This window comes from Homo sapiens, chromosome 17 (assembly GCF_000001405.40).
Source record: "Homo sapiens chromosome 17, GRCh38.p14 Primary Assembly".
In the NCBI taxonomy this organism is placed as follows: domain Eukaryota; kingdom Metazoa; phylum Chordata; class Mammalia; order Primates; family Hominidae; genus Homo; species Homo sapiens.
The window spans coordinates 56214656-56236417 of NC_000017.11; the positions used below are offsets into that span (position 1 = coordinate 56214656).

General features: G+C 38.6%; 1 protein-coding gene across 11 annotated transcripts in view, besides 2 other annotated features; it reads left to right on the top strand.

Moving 5' to 3' along the window:
* ANKFN1 (ankyrin repeat and fibronectin type III domain containing 1) overlaps nucleotides 1-21762 on the top strand; it is a 470940-nt gene that overhangs the window by 168579 nt on the left and 280599 nt on the right. For 9 of the 11 annotated variants that reach the window (XM_047435502.1, XM_017024263.2, XM_011524430.3 and 6 more), the window contains one exon: nucleotides 13262-13302. Coding sequence is in view for 7 of the 11 variants with exons in the window: in XM_017024263.2 (XP_016879752.1) it covers nucleotides 13262-13302 (41 nt within the window). In the remaining 4 variants the exon portion in view is untranslated. Of the gene's footprint in view, nucleotides 1-9853; nucleotides 10296-13261; nucleotides 13303-21762 lie in introns of those variants that run through there. The other 2 variants (XM_017024266.2, XM_011524429.3) reach the window with 2 other exon arrangements.
* Nucleotides 7008-8207: an enhancer, noted in NCBI's record as "MED14-independent group 3 enhancer chr17:54299024-54300223 (GRCh37/hg19 assembly coordinates)". NCBI's record gives its function as "activates an origin of replication core promoter dependent on BRD2, BRD4, P300/CBP and CDK7 cofactors, and independent of MED14, by STARR-seq in HCT116 cells {active_cell/tissue: HCT116}" and the evidence as "EXISTENCE:reporter gene assay evidence [ECO:0000049][PMID:35650434]".
* Nucleotides 15063-15673: an enhancer, noted in NCBI's record as "OCT4-NANOG hESC enhancer chr17:54307079-54307689 (GRCh37/hg19 assembly coordinates)". NCBI's record gives its function as "activates a minimal SCP1, AML or CMV promoter by ChIP-STARR-seq in naive H9 embryonic stem cells {active_cell/tissue: H9 hESC(naive)}" and the evidence as "EXISTENCE:reporter gene assay evidence [ECO:0000049][PMID:30033119]".

The following is a 21762-nucleotide window of genomic DNA, read 5'->3' on the forward strand; positions in this document are numbered from 1 at the left end:
ACTCCTTCAACTCTGCAAAATATCTTTCTCTAAGATTTCCCCTGACCTTTCCATCACTAATCCCAAAGGCTACTAGTCAGCCCTCATTCTCTCAGACCTCTGGAATATTTAACCCACTTGTCCTCTTCAGCCCATTTGAGTCTATTTCTCCTAATGGTTTCCATTATCTGCTGTTGTTGTCCTCTGTGGAAAAAAATGGGCTAACATGCAAACAAATAATATACAGCTATTAAAAATAAGGATGTATAGCAATGTGTACTGATATGTATAACCCAATTGCCCCAAGGCCTCTAGCTTTTGGGGCAGTAACCCTTTCCTTTCATAACCAAGTTAAATAAATAAGTCCCCATCCACATAACTGGAGGAAATCCACTCACTTTTCCAATATCTCTGAAGATTTCCTGCATGATGCTTATGTTCACTTATGGTTATCTATCATCCTCGTCTCCAAACTCCTGCCTCTGGTATAGAGTCATCTTTTGTGGCCAAGTAATTTGGGCTCTGTACAAGGAAGCTGTGTACTTTAGCCCTGACTGGGGATGATCCTGGAGCAGCAGAGCACCGTGCTTAAGTGTGAGAGCACCACACTGCATGAGTCCAGATCCAGAATCTATCGCTTACCAGCTGTGACTTTGGGCATTGTATTTAACTTCTCTGTCTGACCTTCACCACACCCAGTTTCCTCATCTGTAAATTGGGATGAGAATAGCACCTACCCTACAGGGTTATTGTGTGAGAAAGCCCATTACCAATAAGGTGAGCAGACACACTGAGAAGGCTGAGACAGAGGTGAGTTTTCTCAACTTAGAATAGGGGTCCAGAAAACACAATGAAAGGGACAAGAACAGGAAGATGGAGGGGCATGGGCCCGAGAAGAAAGAATCTGATTGAGACAGGAAAGAAGGAGCTCAGGGTAGCCCAAGCATAGGTTTTTCACTTGGCAGAGGAGGTGCGATTCATGTAGATGAAGGAATCAGAAAACTGCAAAACTAGTTGGGCACAGATAGGGCCAGCTCCATGGGCTTGCACTCAGTGAAGCCACACAGGACCCTGTGCTCAGTTTAATGCTCTGCTGTCACTGTCTTGAAATTCTTAATAATTTTATAACATGGGGCACCATTTTTTCATTTTTTCACAGAGCCCCACAAATGAAGTACCTGGTCCCGGGCACAGGTATCGGTGCCAGAGGCAGCGTGGGTGGGAGGCTGCTGGGCAGACAGAATTGTGTTGCCGGAGAAGCCTAGAGGTTCATTCACCTCACTGCACTCTATTGAATAGCCATGACATGTTGAATATGCTAGACACCATGGAGGATAAAAAGATGAGTAAACAGTTGCCTGAGTTTATGCTCCGATTCATAAGGAATTCAAGCCATTTACTCTCCTGTTAGAAGGGTTTTAGAGCAGCATCAATTGAGGTCACCTTTTGTGAGAAAGAACTTCAGTGGGGCTTTTTTCCCCCAAATTTTATGTATGAAGCCTTCATAATATTTTGTAAGTGGCCTCAAAGAAAATGTTCTATTAAAATTGATAGCTAAATATGTAAACACTGCTCATTGATCAGCTTTCATATTATCCACAGCAGTTTTGAAAGCGGATCCTTTATTCCTTGCCAAAAACTACTGCTTTGATATTGGAATAACTAATCCTTGGAAATTTATTATTTAATTATAACATTTGGACAGTAGCCTACGAGACATGAAAGATTTCTGTGAGTCTGTATTGTCAGCTGACAACTTGGAGTTAGAGATTTGAAATGTCTGAAAGTTGAAAATATTCAGAGTCGGATCATAATGATGTCATGTAGAAAAGATTTGAATATAAATGGAACTTCAAGGCATCATTGGAGAGTCTTCAGTCAAACAGCTCTTACTCTGCCTTTTTATTCTAACAGGGTTATTACATTGAAGTGGCTAGTGCAGAAATCAAAGACCTTTCTAAATGTTGATGTCAGTTAATCGGAGAAGGGTGATTTCCATAGATGATGTGCTCTGCTAGAAAAAGCATAAAAATGGGAGCCAAAAGACCTAATTTCTATTTTTTAAACAAGGCACACTCCTCTGTGCCTCAGTTTACCTATCTGTAAAGCAAAGCCTCAGGTGGAGGACCCCACATTGTTAATGATGCCGCTCTTTAGGTGAAACTCTGCCCAGATCAGCCTAAAGGGCCTTTCTGGCCTCCTACACCTCAAATTCAGCAACCCATGGGATAATTAAGCTTACTGGGAATTCTAGTCAGAGAAATAATGCTCAAACAAGGAAAGCTTCTATTGTAGGATGTGAAATAAAAGGAAGAAAAAGAAAAATATAAAAAGAAAGAGAAGATGACAATGGTGCAGTCAAAGCTTATAAGCTTAAACCCCACACTTAAAATCTCTGCAAAATCCTGGGAGATAACATTCTCTCACCCACATCAGGACTTTAGGACAAGGGAGGAATCTTACTCTACAGAACAGTGAATAATTGAGGATTGAATACGAAGCATCCCTGTCATTAAAGGACCTCCCTCCATCCTTCCAGCCAGCAAAAATTTCACACTGCCCTCTCTTCTCCAGAGATCTCACCTCTCTACTGTTCAACAAACTCCCCCTAGCTGACTTTAGGAATTTCATCCCTCTCACTGTCTTCTGTAGCAGCATTTGGCTCCTAGACCACCAATTCAAGATCTAGACCAACTGTGCATTTGCTAAGTCAAAGACCATTTCCTCATGGTTTCACTTTTAGTGACTCCAAAGTGTTAGCAGAGTTCTTCAAAATTCCACCGCATTGTGTTGAACAGAATGCATAGAGCAGTGGTTCTTAATTGAGGAGGAAGGGCCCAGCAATTGTGCCCCTCCAGCAACATTTGACAATGTTTTGTGACATTTTTGTTGTCACAAATGGCGAAGAGGATAATACTGGCATGTGGCAGATAGAGGCCATGGACACTGCCAAATATCCTACAATGCACAGAACAGCCTCCACAACACAGAATCAATCAGGCCCCAAATGTCCATAGTACTAAGGTTGAGAAACCAATATAGAAATTTATTTTCCCACTGTTATGAGTAAGTTCATCTCCCCTTCAAAGGCAAAGGAAGCTAGTCAGTTTAGCTTTTGAATAATAATTTTTTTCAGCATACTATGTTTAAAAATAATTTGTACTTGTCTTTCCCCAGTTAAGGGGTTTTGGGTATAGAACTTTTAAATGATGTCTGTGTTCCCTGAAGAATAATTAGTGACTTCTAGATTTCTAGCACTATTATCTCTAATAGATTTACTTGCTAGGATCTCAACAGTTACATGTCCCAGTGGCTCCACAAATTCAACGTGTCTAAAACTACTTTGGCCACAGCTATAGCTTAGAACTTCATCCTTTCTCACCTGCATTCTACCTCCTAGTGAGTCATTAGATTCCAACAAAATCTTCTCTCATATTGCTCATTTCTGTGGCTAACCATATCAACCACCCCATTCTCCAGGCATCACCTAATCCCCTATCCACATCCAATAGATCACCTGGTCCCGCAACCTGTTTCTCCTTAGCCCCTTCTCTCTCTCTCTCTCTCTCTTCCCCACCCTCCCTCCCTCCCCTCTTCCCTCCCCTATGTTACTCCTCTGATTCAGTTCCTCAACACAAATATCTGGGTTAATTAAATAACTCCTTCTGACTATTCCTTTTTCCAAGCTGACCTTTATAAATCCATGCTGTACAAATCCATTCATACTTCTTCCCTATTTTAGGAAATTTTAAATACATTTCTTGGCTTTCAGAATAATGTTCAACCCTTTACCTGGCTGAGATGATCTAACTCTTGCTTGTCTCTGTCCCATCTCTTTTCACTCTTCCATGTGGAATTCTTTGGTCTAACTTTTTTGAGCTACTTTGTACTTCAGCACATGCCCTGTCTCGGGGACTTCACACATGTTGTTTTCAGCAAAGAATACTCTTTTCCACCTTTTCTTCTTGCCCAACACCTAATCATCTTGAAATCTCAGCTCTGCCATGAACATCACTGCTCTGGGAGAGTGTCTCTGGATCACCAGAGCCATCCTTCACCATGTGTTTCCCTCAAATTCCCTTGGAATAAAGGGTACTTTCATCACATAAATTTGTGACAGTCCCTCTCCCTGGAATTCATACCCAATATTAGAATATTACAAGTTCTGAAAAAAGACTGCCATAAAAAGATTTCTTGATCTTTGATCCAATGTTTCCCAAACTTACTTGAACATTTAACTTATTTTTTCTGCAAACCTATTATCATCTTTTTTTGGAAAATTTTGCCTTCATCTGATTTAGGAAGAACTTCCTTTGCTCCTATAGGTACCCCAGGCATAGGTCTATTACAGTACTTTTCACACATCCCTGTAATTGCAGAGTCATTTTCTAATAGGTCTCATATACAATAGACTGACTACAAATGCCTCAATAATAAAATAATCACCGTGTTTTTATCAGCATTATACATCCAATACCTAGAACACATTTTAGATATCTGATAAATATTTGATAAATAAATACATTATTGGACAAAGGACAATATAGTTCATTACTATTAATAATTCACCTATGTTAAAGAGTAGGTGCATTTTTTGATTATTTGTTTTTGTTTGTTTATTTTTTTTTTTGATACAGAGTCTCACTCCGTCACCCAGGCTGGAGTTCAGTGGTGTGATTTCAGCTCACTGCAACCTCCGCCTCCTGGGAGCAAGTGATTCTCCTGCCTCAACCTCCCAAGTAGCTGGGACTACAGGTGTGCACCACCATGCCTGGCTAATTTTTGCATTTTTAGTAGAGATGGGATTTTACCATGTTGGCCAGGCTGGTCTCAAACTCCTGACCTTAGTTGATGAACCCACCTTGGCCTCCCAAAGTACTGGAGTTACAGGCATGAGCCACTGTGGCCAATCAATATAATTGTTTTGATAAAATATTTTAATATTCAAGATAGAATGTAATTTATGATATTGACATGCTTTCTGAGAATGCCATGTTTAAGTGAATTTCTTAGTGTCTCTATCCTGAAGATAAGGGTTTATGCTTGGTCTGGCTTCTTAATCTGGGATTGGCATGGAAATCTTTTTATTGTTTTGGGAGTCAGTTTTGAATTTGTTGCTGTTGTTTTGTGTTTTGTTTTTTAAGAAGACCACAACTCAACTGTGAGTTATTTGGGGTCATTTTCTGCTCCAATGGCGGCTACTGAAACCAGTACAAACTGTCAGAGCAGTTTCATTAAAGGTATTAGGAGGCCCTTGGCTTTTTAATATTAAGCTCAAATCCAAAATGACCTTAAAATGCAGTAACATTGAAGTCAGAAAATCTGTATTCTAGTTCAAATCACTTGCAGCATGATTTGGAGAGGATCATTAAATCTCACTGATTCTTGTTTCCTCCAGTAACTTAGTATGCTGGTAAACTTATTCTCTGTCTTCCGAAGGTGATGTGAGAATTACATGAGATGATCTATGGAAAAACTGTGTAAGCTTGAAAGCATTCAACAAGGCACTCCCAAATGAAATGCAAGCCCCTCAAAGGGGGAGGTCATCACTTATTGATCACTCTCATGCTTAATACAATACCTGGAAAAAGAGATATTCATAAATATTGAATTAATTAATGCAGATAATAAAATGATAAAACAGTAGCCCTGAAGCTATGTTAATGCAATGGGAACAAAAACAAAACACATTTAAATATTGTACTAGTCCAGTCTCCCATTATTATAAAGAAATAGCTTCTGGATGCGGTGGCTCACGCCTGTAATTTTAGCACTTTGGGAGGCCAACTTGGCAGGTGGATGGCTTGAATATAGGAATTCAAGACCAGCCTGGGTAACATGGCAAAGCCCCATCTTTATTAAAAAAAATACAAAAATTAGCTGGGTGTGGTGGGGCATGTCTGTAGTCCCAGCTACTTGGGAGGCCAAGGTGGGAGAATCACCTAGACCAGGGAGGTTGAGGCTGCAGTGAGCTATGATTTCACCACTGCAATACAGCCTGGGTGACAGAGACTCTATCTAAAAAGAAAGAAAGAAAGAGGAAGGGAGGAAAAGAAAGGAAAGGAAAGGGAAAGGGAAAGGGAAACGGAAAAGGAAAAGGGAAAGGGAAGAGGGAGGAAGGAAGGAAAGGAGGGAGGGAGGAAGTCAGGAAGGAAGGGAGGAAGGGAGGGAGGGAGGAAGGAAGGAAGGAAGGAAGGGAGGAAGGGAGGGAGGGAGGAAGGAAGGAAGGAAGGAAGGGAGGGAGGGAGGGAGGGAGGAAGGAAGGAAGGAAGGGAGTGGGGGAGGGAGGAACGAACGAACGAAAGAAAGACAGACCTGAGACTGGGTAATTTATAAAGAAAAGAGGTTTAATTGGCTCATGGTTCTGCAGGCTGCACAGGATCATGATGTTGGCATCTGCTCAGCTTCTGGAGAGACCTAAGGAAACTTAGAATCATGGCAGAAGGTGAAGGGGGAAGCAGGCAGGTCACATGGCCAGAGCAAGAGCAAGAGAGAGAGAGCATAAAGATGCCACACACTTTTAAATGACCAGAACTCATGAGAACTCACTACCGTGAGGACAGTACCAAGAGATGGTACTAAACCATTCATGGGAAATCCACTTCCATGATCCAGTCACCTCCCACCAGGCTGCATCTGCAACACTGGAGATTACATTTAAACATGAGATTTGAGTGGGGCACACATCCAAACTATATCAAATATATAAATATATGCCATATTTATACATCTGCTTGTATATATGCCTATTGATGAAGGGCCTGAAGTAGATGAAAGGTGACCAAATTATGAAAATTTATAAGGAAAATTAAATGTCAATAAACATTAGAATCAAACAGAGCCTTATACGATGTACAAGAAATTAATACTTTTTTTAAGAAGTTCAGTGATAGCCAGATATAAGTGTATACCAAGAACAATTTTAAATGGTTAAAAATACATTCAAATATTCTTATAGCAATCAAGATATACAGAAGTCCAAATATAATTTGAAGTGGTTGGAAACATGGATGAACTTTACCTGAAGAAACTCTCTCCCAGCATTCTGCAGATGTGACAAAGCGATTTCGAACACAGTTATCTGTAGATGGGAAAAGCTGAAGCTCGGCCTACATTTGTTTGCAGTACAGGAGTCCCCAACACCCTGGCTTGCAGGTTTTGGAAGTGGTGGTCAGATTCAGCCATTGGTGGGCATCTTCTGGACACCATCATTTACAGGGCTGGGGAAGGTGAGGGCACTGAAGCCTGGGAAAATGCCTGCCTCCCAGGAAACAGGGAACACAGGCTCTTTTTCTCTTCAGTCCAAGGGGCCCACCCCATAGAGCCTACTGCCCTGTGTGGAAACTTGTAAGAAATGCAGAATTCCAGTCCCCACCCCAGACCTTCCAAATCAGAATCTGCTTTTTATCAGGGTCTCAGGTGATCTGTGGACACATTCAAGTATAAGGAGCACTGGCCTCAGTGGCTGTTCTCAGCAGGACTGCTTGTTTTAGATGTATGGCTGAGGAGGAGCCCAAAAGACTCTTTTTGTGTAACACGAAGAGACTTGCCACGCTCTGCACTTGCCTGGAGGATCCTGAGAACTTGGAGGCTTCCCCTACACCCTCAGTTGAGGGGTTCTAGCCTACCAGGCTGTTCACCAGGAAAATATTCCTCCTTTGCCTCTCACAACTTGCAGACCCACTACTAGTTAGGAGACCCCAAAAGCCTGCCTACATGTGTGCTGAGGACTTATTTCACTGTAATGGGTCAGAAAGATCTGGATGTTTGCAGACAAGTAACAGTGAGGAGAAAAAATGCACAAGGCATTGAAGATGACTCAGCAGTTTGAAGGAGGAAAGAACAACACAATCAGAACAGGTGGCTGTCTGTGAGATAGTCTTAAAGAAAGAAAGACAAAGGACACTAAAAGAGTATAATGCAAATTCCTAGGGAGACTAGGGAAATTATTACAAAGGAATGATCGGAGAAAAAGAGAGTTCTTGAAACTCAAAAATATTGCTGAAAACTGAATAAGGTATCTTGAAGTTCAGGTGGAAGATTAGCACACAGAGAAGAAAAACTTGAAGAAATGGAAGTTATGCATGCTAAGTGAAAAATACACATAGAGGACACATCTTATTGTTGATAGAGGGTGAATAGTTTCAACCTTCTTGAAGAGTGATTTGCACAACCCATCTAATAGTAAGCTGCATCTACCCTAGTATAAAGTACTTGCAATTCTAAGAACTACTTTAGAGTATAAGACCACACGTCTAAAAGTAAATGTTCAAAATGCTTGGTCATTACAAGCCCACTGTAATTGCAAAAAATTACTAACAACCTAAATGTCTATGAATATGGGATTTGTTAGGACATGTCCATAAATGGAATCCTACTTAGCCACTAACAAGAATAAGGAGATCTCTATATACTGACTTGGAATCTGTGTCCACAAAAATACCATTAAGAGGATAAAAGCATATTATAGAAAATTATCTAGCATGAGCTTGTTTTTGTTATAAAAATTTTCATGACATACATATCTATGGATAAAAGTTTATATGCTTATGCTTTCATAAGCATAAAAATATTTAGAAGGATAACCTCACATGCTGTTGATAGAATTACTTCTGGAAAACGGGGGTGTTGGGCAAAGCGTTCACTTCTTTGTGTGCTTCAAAATAAATCTGTGCAGTTCTGAGTTCTTTTACTTTATTTAAGTGGGTTTTTAAATATTTTCTAAATGTTTGATAATGAAAATTGCTTATTTCGATTACAAATATTTTTAACTGTTAAAAAGGTATAAAGAAATCAAAACACAAGGAGTCATTTATAAATAAACACGCTAAGTCAGTGGAATGGTTCACCAAGGCCTCAGCAAAGGCACAGAGTCAAGGCTAGGAAAAAACAAAAAACAGCAAAATTCCAATACCGTAGGAGAAGCCATTGGCAGTGTTTATAAAATCAGTAAAATACGAGTGAGGCCAAGGGATTAAAAAGCAACTGTGAGAAAAATTATTAGAAGTCATGAAAAACAATCTGATATCACTTTTTAAAGTTGAGCTCATTGTGGGTCAAATCAGAACCCACAGAGACAAAAGAGGTCATGTCCCCCGATTATAACCATTTAAGGAACTAGTACAGAATATTTTAATCCAATGGATGGTACCGTTCTTTGTACAATAAGTTTTCAATTTGGACTTAATGAAGACAACATAACTGTCACATAGTAAGCACTAGGATTGGGCACGTTCTCTTCCAAATGCTTTATATGTATATCCTCCAATAAGCACAACAATCTTAGGAGAAGTACAGTGCTACTCTTATTTCTATTTTACAGTTGAAGGCCTTGAGACTTAGACAGATTAAGTAACTGGTCAGAGGTCACACTGGAGGTTGGTGGAAGAATCGAGACTTGAACTCCTGGCCCTCTGACCTTGCTTCTGCCCCCAGAGTGGGGGTCATGGGCAGAGCCCCTACAACTCTTGACATCACATCCCTATGCCTTCATCACATAGTCTTGGCTTTTAAAGAACACTTGATCAAAGCAAAGAGGAGATACACTATTCATAAATTATTTTTATTGTCTGATCACTGGCATATTCTATCTTAAATAAAACCTTCATTCTTAAATTAATTTCACAGGTAATTTACGTGGTTACCTATACTCCTGAGAATCAGTGGGATAGAGAATAGGTAGTCCTACCATAGCATTAAGTAAGTAAAATTAACATAAAATAGAATTAATTCAAAATTCAGAATAAGAGTACAGTAGCCACCTCATCTCAACATTCATAATCTTGAACATATAGGAGCTAGATTATTGTGTATCATAAAGAGGAATAGGTATATAGAAGATTTTACTCCATAGGTTACATTATACAATTATACTCGCATTGATGCAACTTTTTACAAACCATAAACATTTTAAATAACTGACAACTCAAGCCAGATAGCCTAATCAGCATAGAACACTCAGAAATTTCTAAGTGATCTTATTTTCTAATGAGTGTCAATTGTAGGTTACAGATGACAACCAGATGGGATCAACCACAGGAACCAGGGTGAGAAGTTGAGATCAATGAATGGTATGAAGAATCCCCTGGTTGAGCACTTGGTTTAAAGATAAGATGTTCTCAGAAGAGATCACAGACAGAGATGTATCCTCAGTGTTCAGCACAGTTCATATGAAAGTGGATTCCAGCAAAGAGACCAAAGAATGTGTCCAAGGGCTTCGGTCAAAGTCTGTTCTGTATGAACCTTGCTACTGAATCAGGCACATGTCCTACTGTGATCCGAGGAGGGTAACCTGCTGGCCATGCAGATCTTCTGAGGTGGGCATAGCACAGGGCAGAGCCGGGATGTACCTCACATCTCCCCTGAGGTGGGAGCAGAGAGACTAGGCTTCCCTAGCTAAAGTCTTCTAGGATCCACATAAGAAGATCCCCATTTATGATCTCTTAAAGACCCTTGTGTGGTGAGAGAATGGTCTCTGCCAAAGTATATGCAAATAATACAAATGGTGGTCCCTCAAGTGAGCCAGTTCCTCCTGCCCAGGGTCTTGCACTCAGTGATGTTCCCTTGCTTGGTCTGCTCCACATTCCCCATCTGCCTTCTTATGTCCTGCTCTAGCGTAAGAATAATATCTCCCTAGGGTTATTATGAGGAATTAACTGCTCAGTACATTAGGAGGTTCTTGATGCATTAAGCACTCCATATTATTAACTATTATTATTAAATATGAATTTTTTACCAGATGCTATTTCAATGCTTCCCCAAATTAGACTTCCTGGACCTTTCTATCTGGATTGATTACCCAATTCCATCTTGCCTCCTCACTGGCCACTGTTGTAACTTTGTGTTATATTGTGATGTGATCCCTCTAAACTGTCCAATTGTCCCTCCAACCAGACAGAGGTTAATCACGAGGGGAGGGGATGTGTTATTAGGGCCCAACACAGTGCCTTGCACATAGTAGGCACTCAATAAGCATTCAGTGAAGGAGTTAATAATTTGAAGGCCTCTCTTTCTCCTTTAAGAATTCAGGTTTTTCTTTGTCTGTTGTGGAAATAAGCTTTAAAAAAGCAGAGGTGAGTTTTTATGTAACTCTCTGGTCTGAAAAAGCACACTGCCACAGTATGCTTAACAGCTTGATTTATTTTGTACCTCAAGAAAAATGATCAGTAACATTGAATTGAATAGATACATAATGCAGTCTCAAGGACATCCCTGAATAGTTTTCAAAGTAATCAATGATATTGCTGTGAAAATGTTGCCCAAATGAAGAGTTCTTGTCCAATGAATCTGTGAAGTAATAGACAGATAATTTTCTTTGTGAATACTTTTGTGGCCAAAGAACGCATTATGTGAGGCAGCAGTAAAAACTTTTCTCAGTAGGTGAGAATGTTCCAAATTTGTTTCCTAGCAACAGGTTCTTCAAAGGAGCTGAAGGGTACACAATTTCAGAAGAATTTTCAGTGGACTTTTTTTTTGTTTGGAAGGGCAAGGGGTGGGAGGAAATGTGTGTCAGGTTGTGATCAGAACAGTGTTCCAGTTAGTGCCACATGTGAGATCTTGTTGGGTCAAACTATAGAATAATAACTAACAACTAATAATAATAACTTCTTCCAGTTAGTGACACATGTGAGATCTTGTCGGGTCAAACTATAGAATCCATCTAAGAAATTCAGTCCAATAAAAATGTATCAACCTCTTACCTGTATAAAGAGGAATTATCTGTATTATTTATGGGCCCAGAAATTTAATAATTTAACAATTTGTCAATCCATGAGCCCCACTCCTAACCACCTTCACAGATAGTAAATGAGGAATTAGGTGGCTTGCTAAAACACGTAGAGATTTTTTAATAAGGATGTTGATTGGAGATATTGAGTAGTTGGAGGAATGAAAATTGGAGAAAAGCAATCTGGATGAGGAATTTGGGACAAGGATATAGCTTTGACTGTCACAAATGGAGACATCTTACCCAAGCAAAACCTCCATAGCTACCTTCCCAGCTCCCATTTCATGGATTTATCATATGTTCTTAATTTGGTTTTACAACTTGGCCTTCTGATAGTAATAATAACAGCAGTAACAACACCAGGTGGAATTGGAGAGAGTGCTGGAGAGAGGAAATACAATAAGTCTGGTTGGCTAGTTCAATGGCTTAAGACTTTCATCATTTTCTTGCTTCTGGTTCACGCTGACATTAGGAGGACTTTATCTAACTATTTTATATATATTATTTTATTTAACCTTTATGGCAATTCTTTGAAATAGCCACTAGTAATATTTCTATCAATCTCAGAGCATTGAACCAATTTGCCCAAATCACACTATTATTAAGAAATGGTAGAGCTTGGAAAAACATCGGTCACTGAAGTAACTAATCTGACCTATCCAGATCAGTGTGGGTGGTGTGGAAAGATCTTTCTGTAGGTCTGAGGACACCATGATTTGAGTGCTTAGTCTTAGAGATGATCTGGAATCACTTGAATCTCAGAATGCAAATAGTTCATATCAATCATAGGGACTTTCCTGCCATTTCCTATTAAACCTACTACACTAAAAAGTACCCCTTTCAATATAACCACAATAGGTCCAATAAATTATGGATTTGGAAGCAAGCTGAATTGTCTGGTGGGCTGCCACACTGAACAAATTGCCTGCACAATTGGCCTTCCAAGCATAGGCACAGTCTAATTGTCCCTCCCCTTTTACCAACATCTTGAATAAATAGAAACTTGGCATTGGTTTCAATCCCCCTCCTCGCATCTCCCACAAAAGCTTTCTATTTCTTGGAAAAGAAAACTGTCCATTTATCCTAATAAGTATGAGTTGAGAAAACCATAATCTTTAGGAGAAGTTTCATTTAAAGGAACAATGTGTCAGAACTTGGCCAACAAGAACAAGGTACAATGTCAGTGTGAACCAGAAGCAAGAGAATGATGAGCGTCTAAGCCACTGAATGAGCCAGCCAGACTTACCATGTTTTCTGTCTCCAAGATTGGACCTGGGAGACAAAGTGAGCATCAAGTAGTCTTGAAATTCTAGGATACTAAGGAGCAGGGAGCTGAGCATGTGATGAGATACAGCAGCTAGCATGAATGTTTTTTCTTTCTGGGCTACAGCCTCCTGTATCCCCAAGAAAAGTCTCCCAATAAATATATATTCATCTGTAGGCTAGGCTTCTCTCTCTTTTTTTTTTCAATCAGTGGCTTCAAACGTGACTCCTTTTTCATTTTGAATTGATTACTGTACAATTTTTTAACATTCTTTTTTTCTTTCTTTGTTTCAGAGGCTACTCTTTAAAGACAGGCATTTTACTTGCAGCAAAATGTAAGTACATTTCCTCCTTGAAATGGTATCTACTTCTCAGCTGTAATTCCTAAAGCCTCCTAATCTTTAAGGCTCCCATCTCACATTGCTGCATTTTTAAAGTCTAGCTCAGCACACACAGCCAATCTAACATTTCATACTATTGATTTGTATAACATCATGGAACATTTCAGAAACCAATTTGGAAGCAGATTGAACTTAATTGTGGTTGTGACAATATTACGTCTAAAGGTAGATAAAAGTGAGGAGTAAAAAAATAGGCAATATTCATTTATATATTATGACCATGTGACACTAAACATTTAAATATTCAGTTCTCTCAAATGACTAATTTATTATTCTTTTCCCAGTTGCTCCTCACCGTGTGGTCACAGACTGTTTCTTGTTTAACGGCATGGTGGTAACCTTAATAATTCCTTCCTGTGTGTACTGCGTTATGGCCACTCTGTAAACCCGTATTCTCTCCAGAACTAATCTCCTGTGTATTATGTTTCTTTATTCTTAGTACTTCCAGTGTCTATACCCAAATTACAAATCCCCTCTATTCTGAAAGACCAAAGAAAATTTTAGCAGATCTGAACTGGGAGTTCTGAGTTTTGTCTTTGGAATTAGGGTGATTTTTTTTTTCTTTTTTAATGAAATGAAGGTAAGAATAATTTTAACAAAGGAAAAAAAGAAAGTTTCATATGTCTCTGGTGTAATTTAATAATATCCAATTTACAAAAGCAGGAGGTAGATTTAGCTTTAGTATAAAGACCCTAGCTGTTCAAAAGTAGCTCAAAATGTAGTAAGTTGCTTGTCACTAAGCAAGTAATCAACAACTATAAGGTAGATGGTTGAGTCATGTACCCTCATGGAGGATACATCAACTTCTAATTCATGTAGAATTTCCAGCAGAGAATACATCTCAGTAGTCACTGAAGCATTTAATTAGACATTCTAGTACCTATCAGAATCCAAAGAGTACAGTTGAATTATATATATTATACATGTTCTAATAAATTCTCTTTTGAATCATTCAGTTCCTGAGAAGATTATGTGTTCAGCTGAACTGCAGGAGAAACTTAGTTTTTACTGATTTCCCTAGGGGTTGGTTTTTTGTTTGCTCTCTAGAATAAATTGATCCCACTGCTGTACATCAAATACTCAAGCGTTAGCACAAAAGACATTCACCCTCAAAACATTCAGATTTAATGTCAACGTATTACGCATTCACTGATATTTTTTAAAATGTCAGTCTCTGTATTATCTTGCTTTAGTCTTTATTGCATTATCAAGACACCTGCATGCTATGAATGTTTTAAGCAGCTTTTACCAAGAAAGTCACGTTAGATTTTATGAGTAGTCTCCTTTTCGTGTGCTGTCATGAGTATATTGTTTGTACAAATGTTAACTTTTGACTGTATTATTTCTTTTGAACACAGAAAGCTGTTCAGGGGAAATTGCCTATGTTTACTTTCTTGCATATTCATATTTGGTAGCTCTTTACCATACTGTTACTGCCTATTTAGGTTTACTAGTATTTTAAATCAGTTAATGTTAAATACCGAAAGATACTTGGTATATATTAATCGTGAAAATTTGATGAAGGGCAATTTAAGGCCGCATTTTAAGTCACTATATGTAAATTTAAACACCCACGTGTTACCGCAGGATCTCTTTATCAAAATTTCAGTTGAAAGCACCCGTTACCTTTCAGATTGCAAAAAAAAAAAAAAAAAAAAAAAAAAAGGGGGGTTGGGGGGTGGCTATTTTACTTTAGAGGTCTCAGTTTGTGACTGTTTGTTTTCTTTTCACATTTTTTTTTTCTCAGACACATACAGGGTGCTTAGTGACCTATTTCATTAGTAAACATTTTGAGAAGGAAGCTTGCACTGGGATTATAAACAATCCAGACAAAATGGGTCTACCCAGCTCCCCAAGCAATCTCTGAGCAACCGGGGAAAGGTTGGTCTGACCCATGGAGTCACGGAAACATATTAAAATCACCAGGCAATCTTGACCTGGGTTCTTTTTGGCAGCTACATTGAACCAGCCCCTCTGGAGTTGACTTTTTGTCCTAATGATGATTGTATTATTCAACCAATACAAATGGAAAACGACCTAATCAACGTTCCATTCAGACAAGACTTAGATCTATAGTGAATGACAGGAGACTTTCCAAGTAAAGGTCCTGGAAATGTATATGCAACACATAAAATCCCAACCCACGGATGGAGGACAGCTTTAGCCAAGTCAGGAAAATATGCCTCCATAGAGGAATAAGGCTGGGCGATGGAAGGAACTCAGGAGCAAAAATCAAAAGGCTAATGGCTAAGTCCCAGTTCACTCCTTCAGTAGTATAATTTGGAGTATGTTACTTAACCCTTCGGTTTCAAAGTATCTTTTTGGGGAAGGAGAGAGGAAGGAAGACATTTTCTCCTGACCCCTTCAAAGGGTTGTTGTGATAATCACATGATATAATGTTTTGGAAAAATTTTACCATCTGAAAATGCTTTGTATTACCAATAATCTTATTAAATTATTGGAGACCCTCCCTGTTTTAGTGGGAGTCCTTGGGATTCTGGTGGCAAGCTTTGGGCCTTCAAATTAATGCTACACAATAGAAGAAAATAGAACACTACTGGGCCAGGTCACTGCTCTGGAAAGACTTGCACCCACATTCTTTCTTTTCTTTTCAACCGCTCATATTCTTTAGGACCACTGCCTCTGGTGGAAGAGAATTATCTTCTGGGTGGTATGGGTGAGAAAGTTGCCAAAGAAACCTGAATTATCTAGAGGCCTGTAAAATGCGCAATTGCTTTTTAAGAGGCTTGGTGATATCGTGTGTTCCTTTCGATTTTTGGCAGGAACCATTTTCTGCAATTTGTGGTTTTGCAATTTCTCTTTTCACAGACAACACCCTGGCTCTCATTCAATGCCCCATTGGTGGGGGTGAGGTGGGGAAAAAGAAAGATTCCCTGGGGCCCTGACTGCTCCAGAAAAAGAAGGAAATGTTAATGAAATAAGTCAGAAAAGAACGCTAGAGACTAGTGGAAGCTGGTTGGTTTTGGGGGAAGAAACAACTTTTAATAAATTGCATGGTGTGGCTAGGATTTTAGCTGAGGCTTTCATTGTCTGGGCAAAGACCTGTTCTCTTAATTCTTCTTGCCTCTCCACTGAGCTTTGTTTGGGTTACAATGTCAATCTTTTTTCTTCATTTTTTTTCCTGTATTCAACAAGCCTAGAGCAGTCTCTTTCACTGGTTCCTTGGCCTCTTCTAGAGGGATTTTCTTTAAGTATTCCATCTCTAAGTATCCATTTGCCAATTACATTAACTTGGTTTGTGTAATTTAGCTCAAGATCTATGCATCAGAACTTTTTGCCCTCATTCTGGGTGCCTTTTCTTCCCCTTCCCTATGGCTTTAATGCCCTTTGCAGAGGAGGTCTATGGCCAGCAAAGCAGTACAGGGATGTAGCATTTATGTAGGCAAGAGTGATTTGTTCTGTTTCTATTCATCGCCTCTGGAAAGGGTTTGCAGACTTTTGTTTGCTTTTTTATGGCTGCTAGGCACTGTGCTGAAGGATTTAAAGTTGCATCCAGTGTTAACCTTGTATTCTTTCTCTGTTCACTTTTTTATATCAAAACAGTCCTCTGTTTCCAAAGGAGTGGATTCCCAGGGCCTATGCCCATCGTTCTTGGGCTTTCCATGCACAAAGGCCACGTATTTCTTCTCTTGTCATGACCTAAATGTCACTGCTTCTTGTACTTCTAAAAGGACAATAAAGGTAATTGCTACTCATATGTTAATTACAATCCCCCAAATTTCACGTATTTCGGGAAAATATGATTTTACTGTGTGTGTGTTGTAAACATTTAGGGAATTACTTCTGTTATGGAATCATAAATCATGGAACTTTAATTTTGGAAGATGCTTTCAATATGATGCAGTTCAACAGCCCACCCCTAGCTGTCCTCACAACATCTTCTCTCGAAGCCCTTCCTCTATCTCATATGGTAGCCTAATCCGTTTTTTAATAGCTCAGTATTCAAACTTTCTTTCGCTAACCTGAGATAACCTCCCTCTGACTTTGGGTCATTTGTGCTAGTTTATCCCTTCTGGAGCAGCTCAGAAGAAGCTGACTCCTTCCCCACATGACAACCCTCCAAATATTTTGGAATCTGATCCCGTATACTCTCTGAGTCTTCCTTGTCCAGGCTAAACATCCTCAATTTCTTCAGCCATTCTTCACACGACTTGGTTTAGTTATCCTTTTCCATTTATCCAAGTTGCATTTTTCAATGCTCCTTTTAAAATGTTACAGCCTGAACTGAAAAGAATACTGCTGAGATGGCTGACCAGTACAGAGCTTCTAGAAAAAAACAAAAACAAAAAGAAATTCTCGTTCTGGTGTGTTAGTTTTATTACAATAACTAAGAGCACATCAAAAATTTTAATAGCACTTTAGTCCTGAGGCTAATCTAAAACCCCTAGATACAAAAGCTGCTACTAAAACAGATTTTTCAGTCATGTATCTTTGCACTTGGTTTTGAATATGATGCAAAATATATTTATCCATGCAACACGTAGTAATTTCAGAATATAAGTAAAACTATTAGGAGTTTTTTGAATTTAAATTATTTTAAATCCTTTGTCAGTTTGATCTGCCTCTTGGCTTCATTCAAGAGATTGGTAGAGACAGTGAATATCTGGATTTTAAGCTCCTCAAAGGTGGAACCATGTTTTATTCATCTTTGTCTCTCCTGAAATGTCTGTGATATTCTCTTAAACAACCAGATGCTCAGTAAATGCTTACATTAACTCAATCAACAGAATCAAATACAAAGTAGCTTTCCAACACCCAGACTGGGACCTATCTTTAGGCTGATATCTGTGCCCTGTAGAAACTAAGATAAATACTTAAAATACATTATACTGCTAATGCTTGGCAATTTTGTAGCATTGTAGAGTTAATTAATAATGCCACCTCAAGGGCTAGATAGTCTGAATTCTAATCTTGCTAGACTTTACTGGTTATGTGCTTTAGAGCAAATTAGATTACCTTGTCTGTTCCTGACAAATAAAATATAGTAATAAATTATTTGTATCTGCGTCATAAGGTGTTTGTGAGGCATGTAAATGCAAGCTCAAATTACATGTAAAGAATATAGAAAAAATTCTGGTAATATAAAAATAATAATAGTAGTAATAGTTGTATTGTTGTTGCTTTTGTTATTATTTTCAATATATGCTAATAGAGCCACCCAATCCTAAGAGAAACAAAAAACAACTTTGATAGAACTTGTTCATATTAAACCCATATTGACTTCAACTAATAATTTTATTATCAAAATGCTAGTGTGATCTGAATATAACCGACTGCTTCATGGGCCATTTAAGCTCAGACATGCATTCGAAAATGGAAAATCAAAACATCTAAAAAGATGACAACAATGTACATTTTTGCTGAAGTCCTTCAAAGGGGAATTATGTTACATTCCACAGCAAAATATTCTAAAGATCTTCTTAACCCAAATTTCTCATTTTGAGTAACAACTCAAACATTTTACCTTTCTGTCTGTGCTTTATAAAAACAAAATGTGCTGTTTTGTTCTTGTTTTTTTCTCACTTACCTCTTCTCTCCTAATCATGTCCAGTTCTCCAGAACTACTAAATTACTAGCCTAATCTTTTCTGTCTACAACTCCTCCATTCCCTATATAATTTTATGTGGCCCTTCCAGGTGGCATGTGAAAAGATGTGTATGTTTGCCTGTGTGTACGTGTGTGTACATTATATATTATATACCTAATATATAAAATATATTATGACTTTCACTGATAAAATAGATGTGTAACAAAATTTATGATTGATGAATGAATATAGTTTCCATGTAAATGTGGTTGATATTTATATATATGTTAATGAGTAAGACAAAAATGAAACAGAAAAGGTATACCTCACAGGTCCACTCTTCATCAATAAATGTGAACAACTTCTTTGCTTAACTGGATAAGAGTTTTGAATACAGTTGAATATTTCCTCAAATTTCCATGTTACTCACAATATGACAGCTATAGACAGAACATTCCTTTTTGTTTAATCTGCATCATTAACATTCTCATCACTTTCTTAAACGTAGACAATCAACAAAACAATAAATCAAGACCTGGTTGGTAGCATTTGCCAATTTCTGTGGTGTAAATGCTGCTGCCATGGCCATTTTCAAGTTACCAACATGATGTCACTAAATGTGTAATTAGGAAGATGTGCAGTAACACACCTTTATATGGTATTCACACCATACGGATACAAAGCATTCAAATAAACTAAAAAGCATAGGTAATTTAAAATGCAGCAAAATAATTAAGAAGTGATGAGTTTTTAGCATTTATTTCCTTTGGGGTTTTTTTTTTTAGCTTTTATTTTAGGTTAACAGGTACATGTGCAGGTTTGTTATATAGGTAAAATTATGTTACAGGAATTTGTTGTACAGATTATTTTATCACCCAGGTACTAAGACTAGTACCCAATAGTTATTTTTTCTGATCCTTTTCTTCCTCCCACCCTCCACCCTCAAGTAGGTCCCGGTGTCTGTTGTTCCCCTCTTTGTGTCCATAAGTTCTCATCATTTAGCTGCTACTAATAAGTGAGAACATGCAGTATTTGGTTTTCTGTTCCTGCATTAGTCTGCTAAGGATAATAATCTTCAGCTCCATCCATGTTCCCACAAAAGACATCATCTCATTCTTTTTTATGGCTGCATAGTATTCCATGGTATATATGTACCACATTTTCTTTATCCAATCTGTCATTCATGGGCATTTAGGTTGATTCCATATAATTACTATTGTGACAGGTGTTGCAATGAACATTCACATACATGTGTCTTTATGGTAGACTGATTTACATTCCTCTGGGTATGTACCCAGTATTGGGATTGCTGCGTTGAATGGTAGTCCTGTTTTTAGCTCCTTGAGGAATCACCACACTGCTTTCCATAATGGTTGAATTAATTTACAGTCCCACCAAGAGTGTCTAAGTGTTCCCTCTTCTCTGCAACCTTGCCAGGATCTGTTATTTTTTTACTTTTTATTAACAGCCATTCTGACTGGTATGAGATGGTATCTCACAGTGGTTTTCATTTGCATTTCTCTAATGTTCGGTGATATTTGACTTTTTTTCATATGCCTGTCAGCCACATGTATGTCTTCTTTTGCAGTGTCTGTTCATGTCCATTGCCCACTTTTTAATGTTTGTTGTTGTTGTTGTTTCTTATAAACTTGTTTAAGTTCCTTACAGATGCTGGATATTAGACCTTTGCGAGATGCATAGGTGGCAAATATTTTCTCCCATGCTGTAGATTGTCTGTTTATTCTGTTCATAGTTTCTTTTGCTGTGCAGAAGCTTTTACATTTGATTAGATCCCATTTGTCAACTTTTGCTTGCGTTGCAATTACTTTTGGCATCTTCATCAGGCCATTTTTGTCCATTCCTATGTCCACAATGGTATTGCCTAGGTTGTCTTCCAGAGTTTTTATAGTTTTGGGTTTTACATTTAATTCTTTAATCTATCTTTAGTTGATTTTTGTACATGGTGTAAGGAAAGGGTCCCGTTTCAATCTTCTGCATATGGCTAGCCTGTTACCCCAGCACCATTTCTTGAAAAGGGAGTCCTTTCCTCACTGACGGTTTTTGTCAGCTTTGTCAAAGATCAGATGGTTGTAGGTGTGCAGCCTTATTTCTAGGCTCCTTATTCTGTTCCATTGGCCTATGTGTCTATTTTTGTGCCAGTACCATGCTATTTTGGTTACCGCAGCCCTGTATTATAGTTTGAAGTTGGCTAAGGTGATGACTCCAGCTTTGTTCTTTCTGCTTAGGATTGCTGTAGCTATTCAGACTCTTTTTTGGTTCCATATGAATTTTGAAATCATTTTTTCTAATTCTGTGAAAAATGTCTTTGGTAGTTGGATAAAAATAGCACTGAATCTGCAAATCACTTTAGGCAGTATGGCCATTTTAATCATATTGATTCTTCCTATCCATGATCCATGAGCATGGAATGTTTTTCCATTTATTTGTGTCATCTCTGATTTCTTTTTCTTTTCTTTTCTTTTCTTTCTTTCTTTCTTTTTTTTGAGATGGAGTCTCACTCTGTCACCCAGGCTGGAGTGCAGTGGCATGATCTTGGCTCACTGCAACCTCTGCCTCCCAGGTTCAAGCGATTCTTCTGCCCCAGCCTCCTGAGTAGCTGGGACTACAGGCATGTGCGACCACCCCCGGCTACTTTTTTGTATTTTTAGTAGAGACGTGGTTTCACCATGTTAGCCAGGATGGTCTCGAACTCCTGACCTCATGATCTGCCTGCCTCGGCCTCCTAAAGTACTGGGATTACAGGAGTGAGCCACCGCGCCTGGCCCTGATTTCTTTGAACAATGCTTTGTAGTTCTCATTGTAGATATCTTTCACCTCCCTAGTTA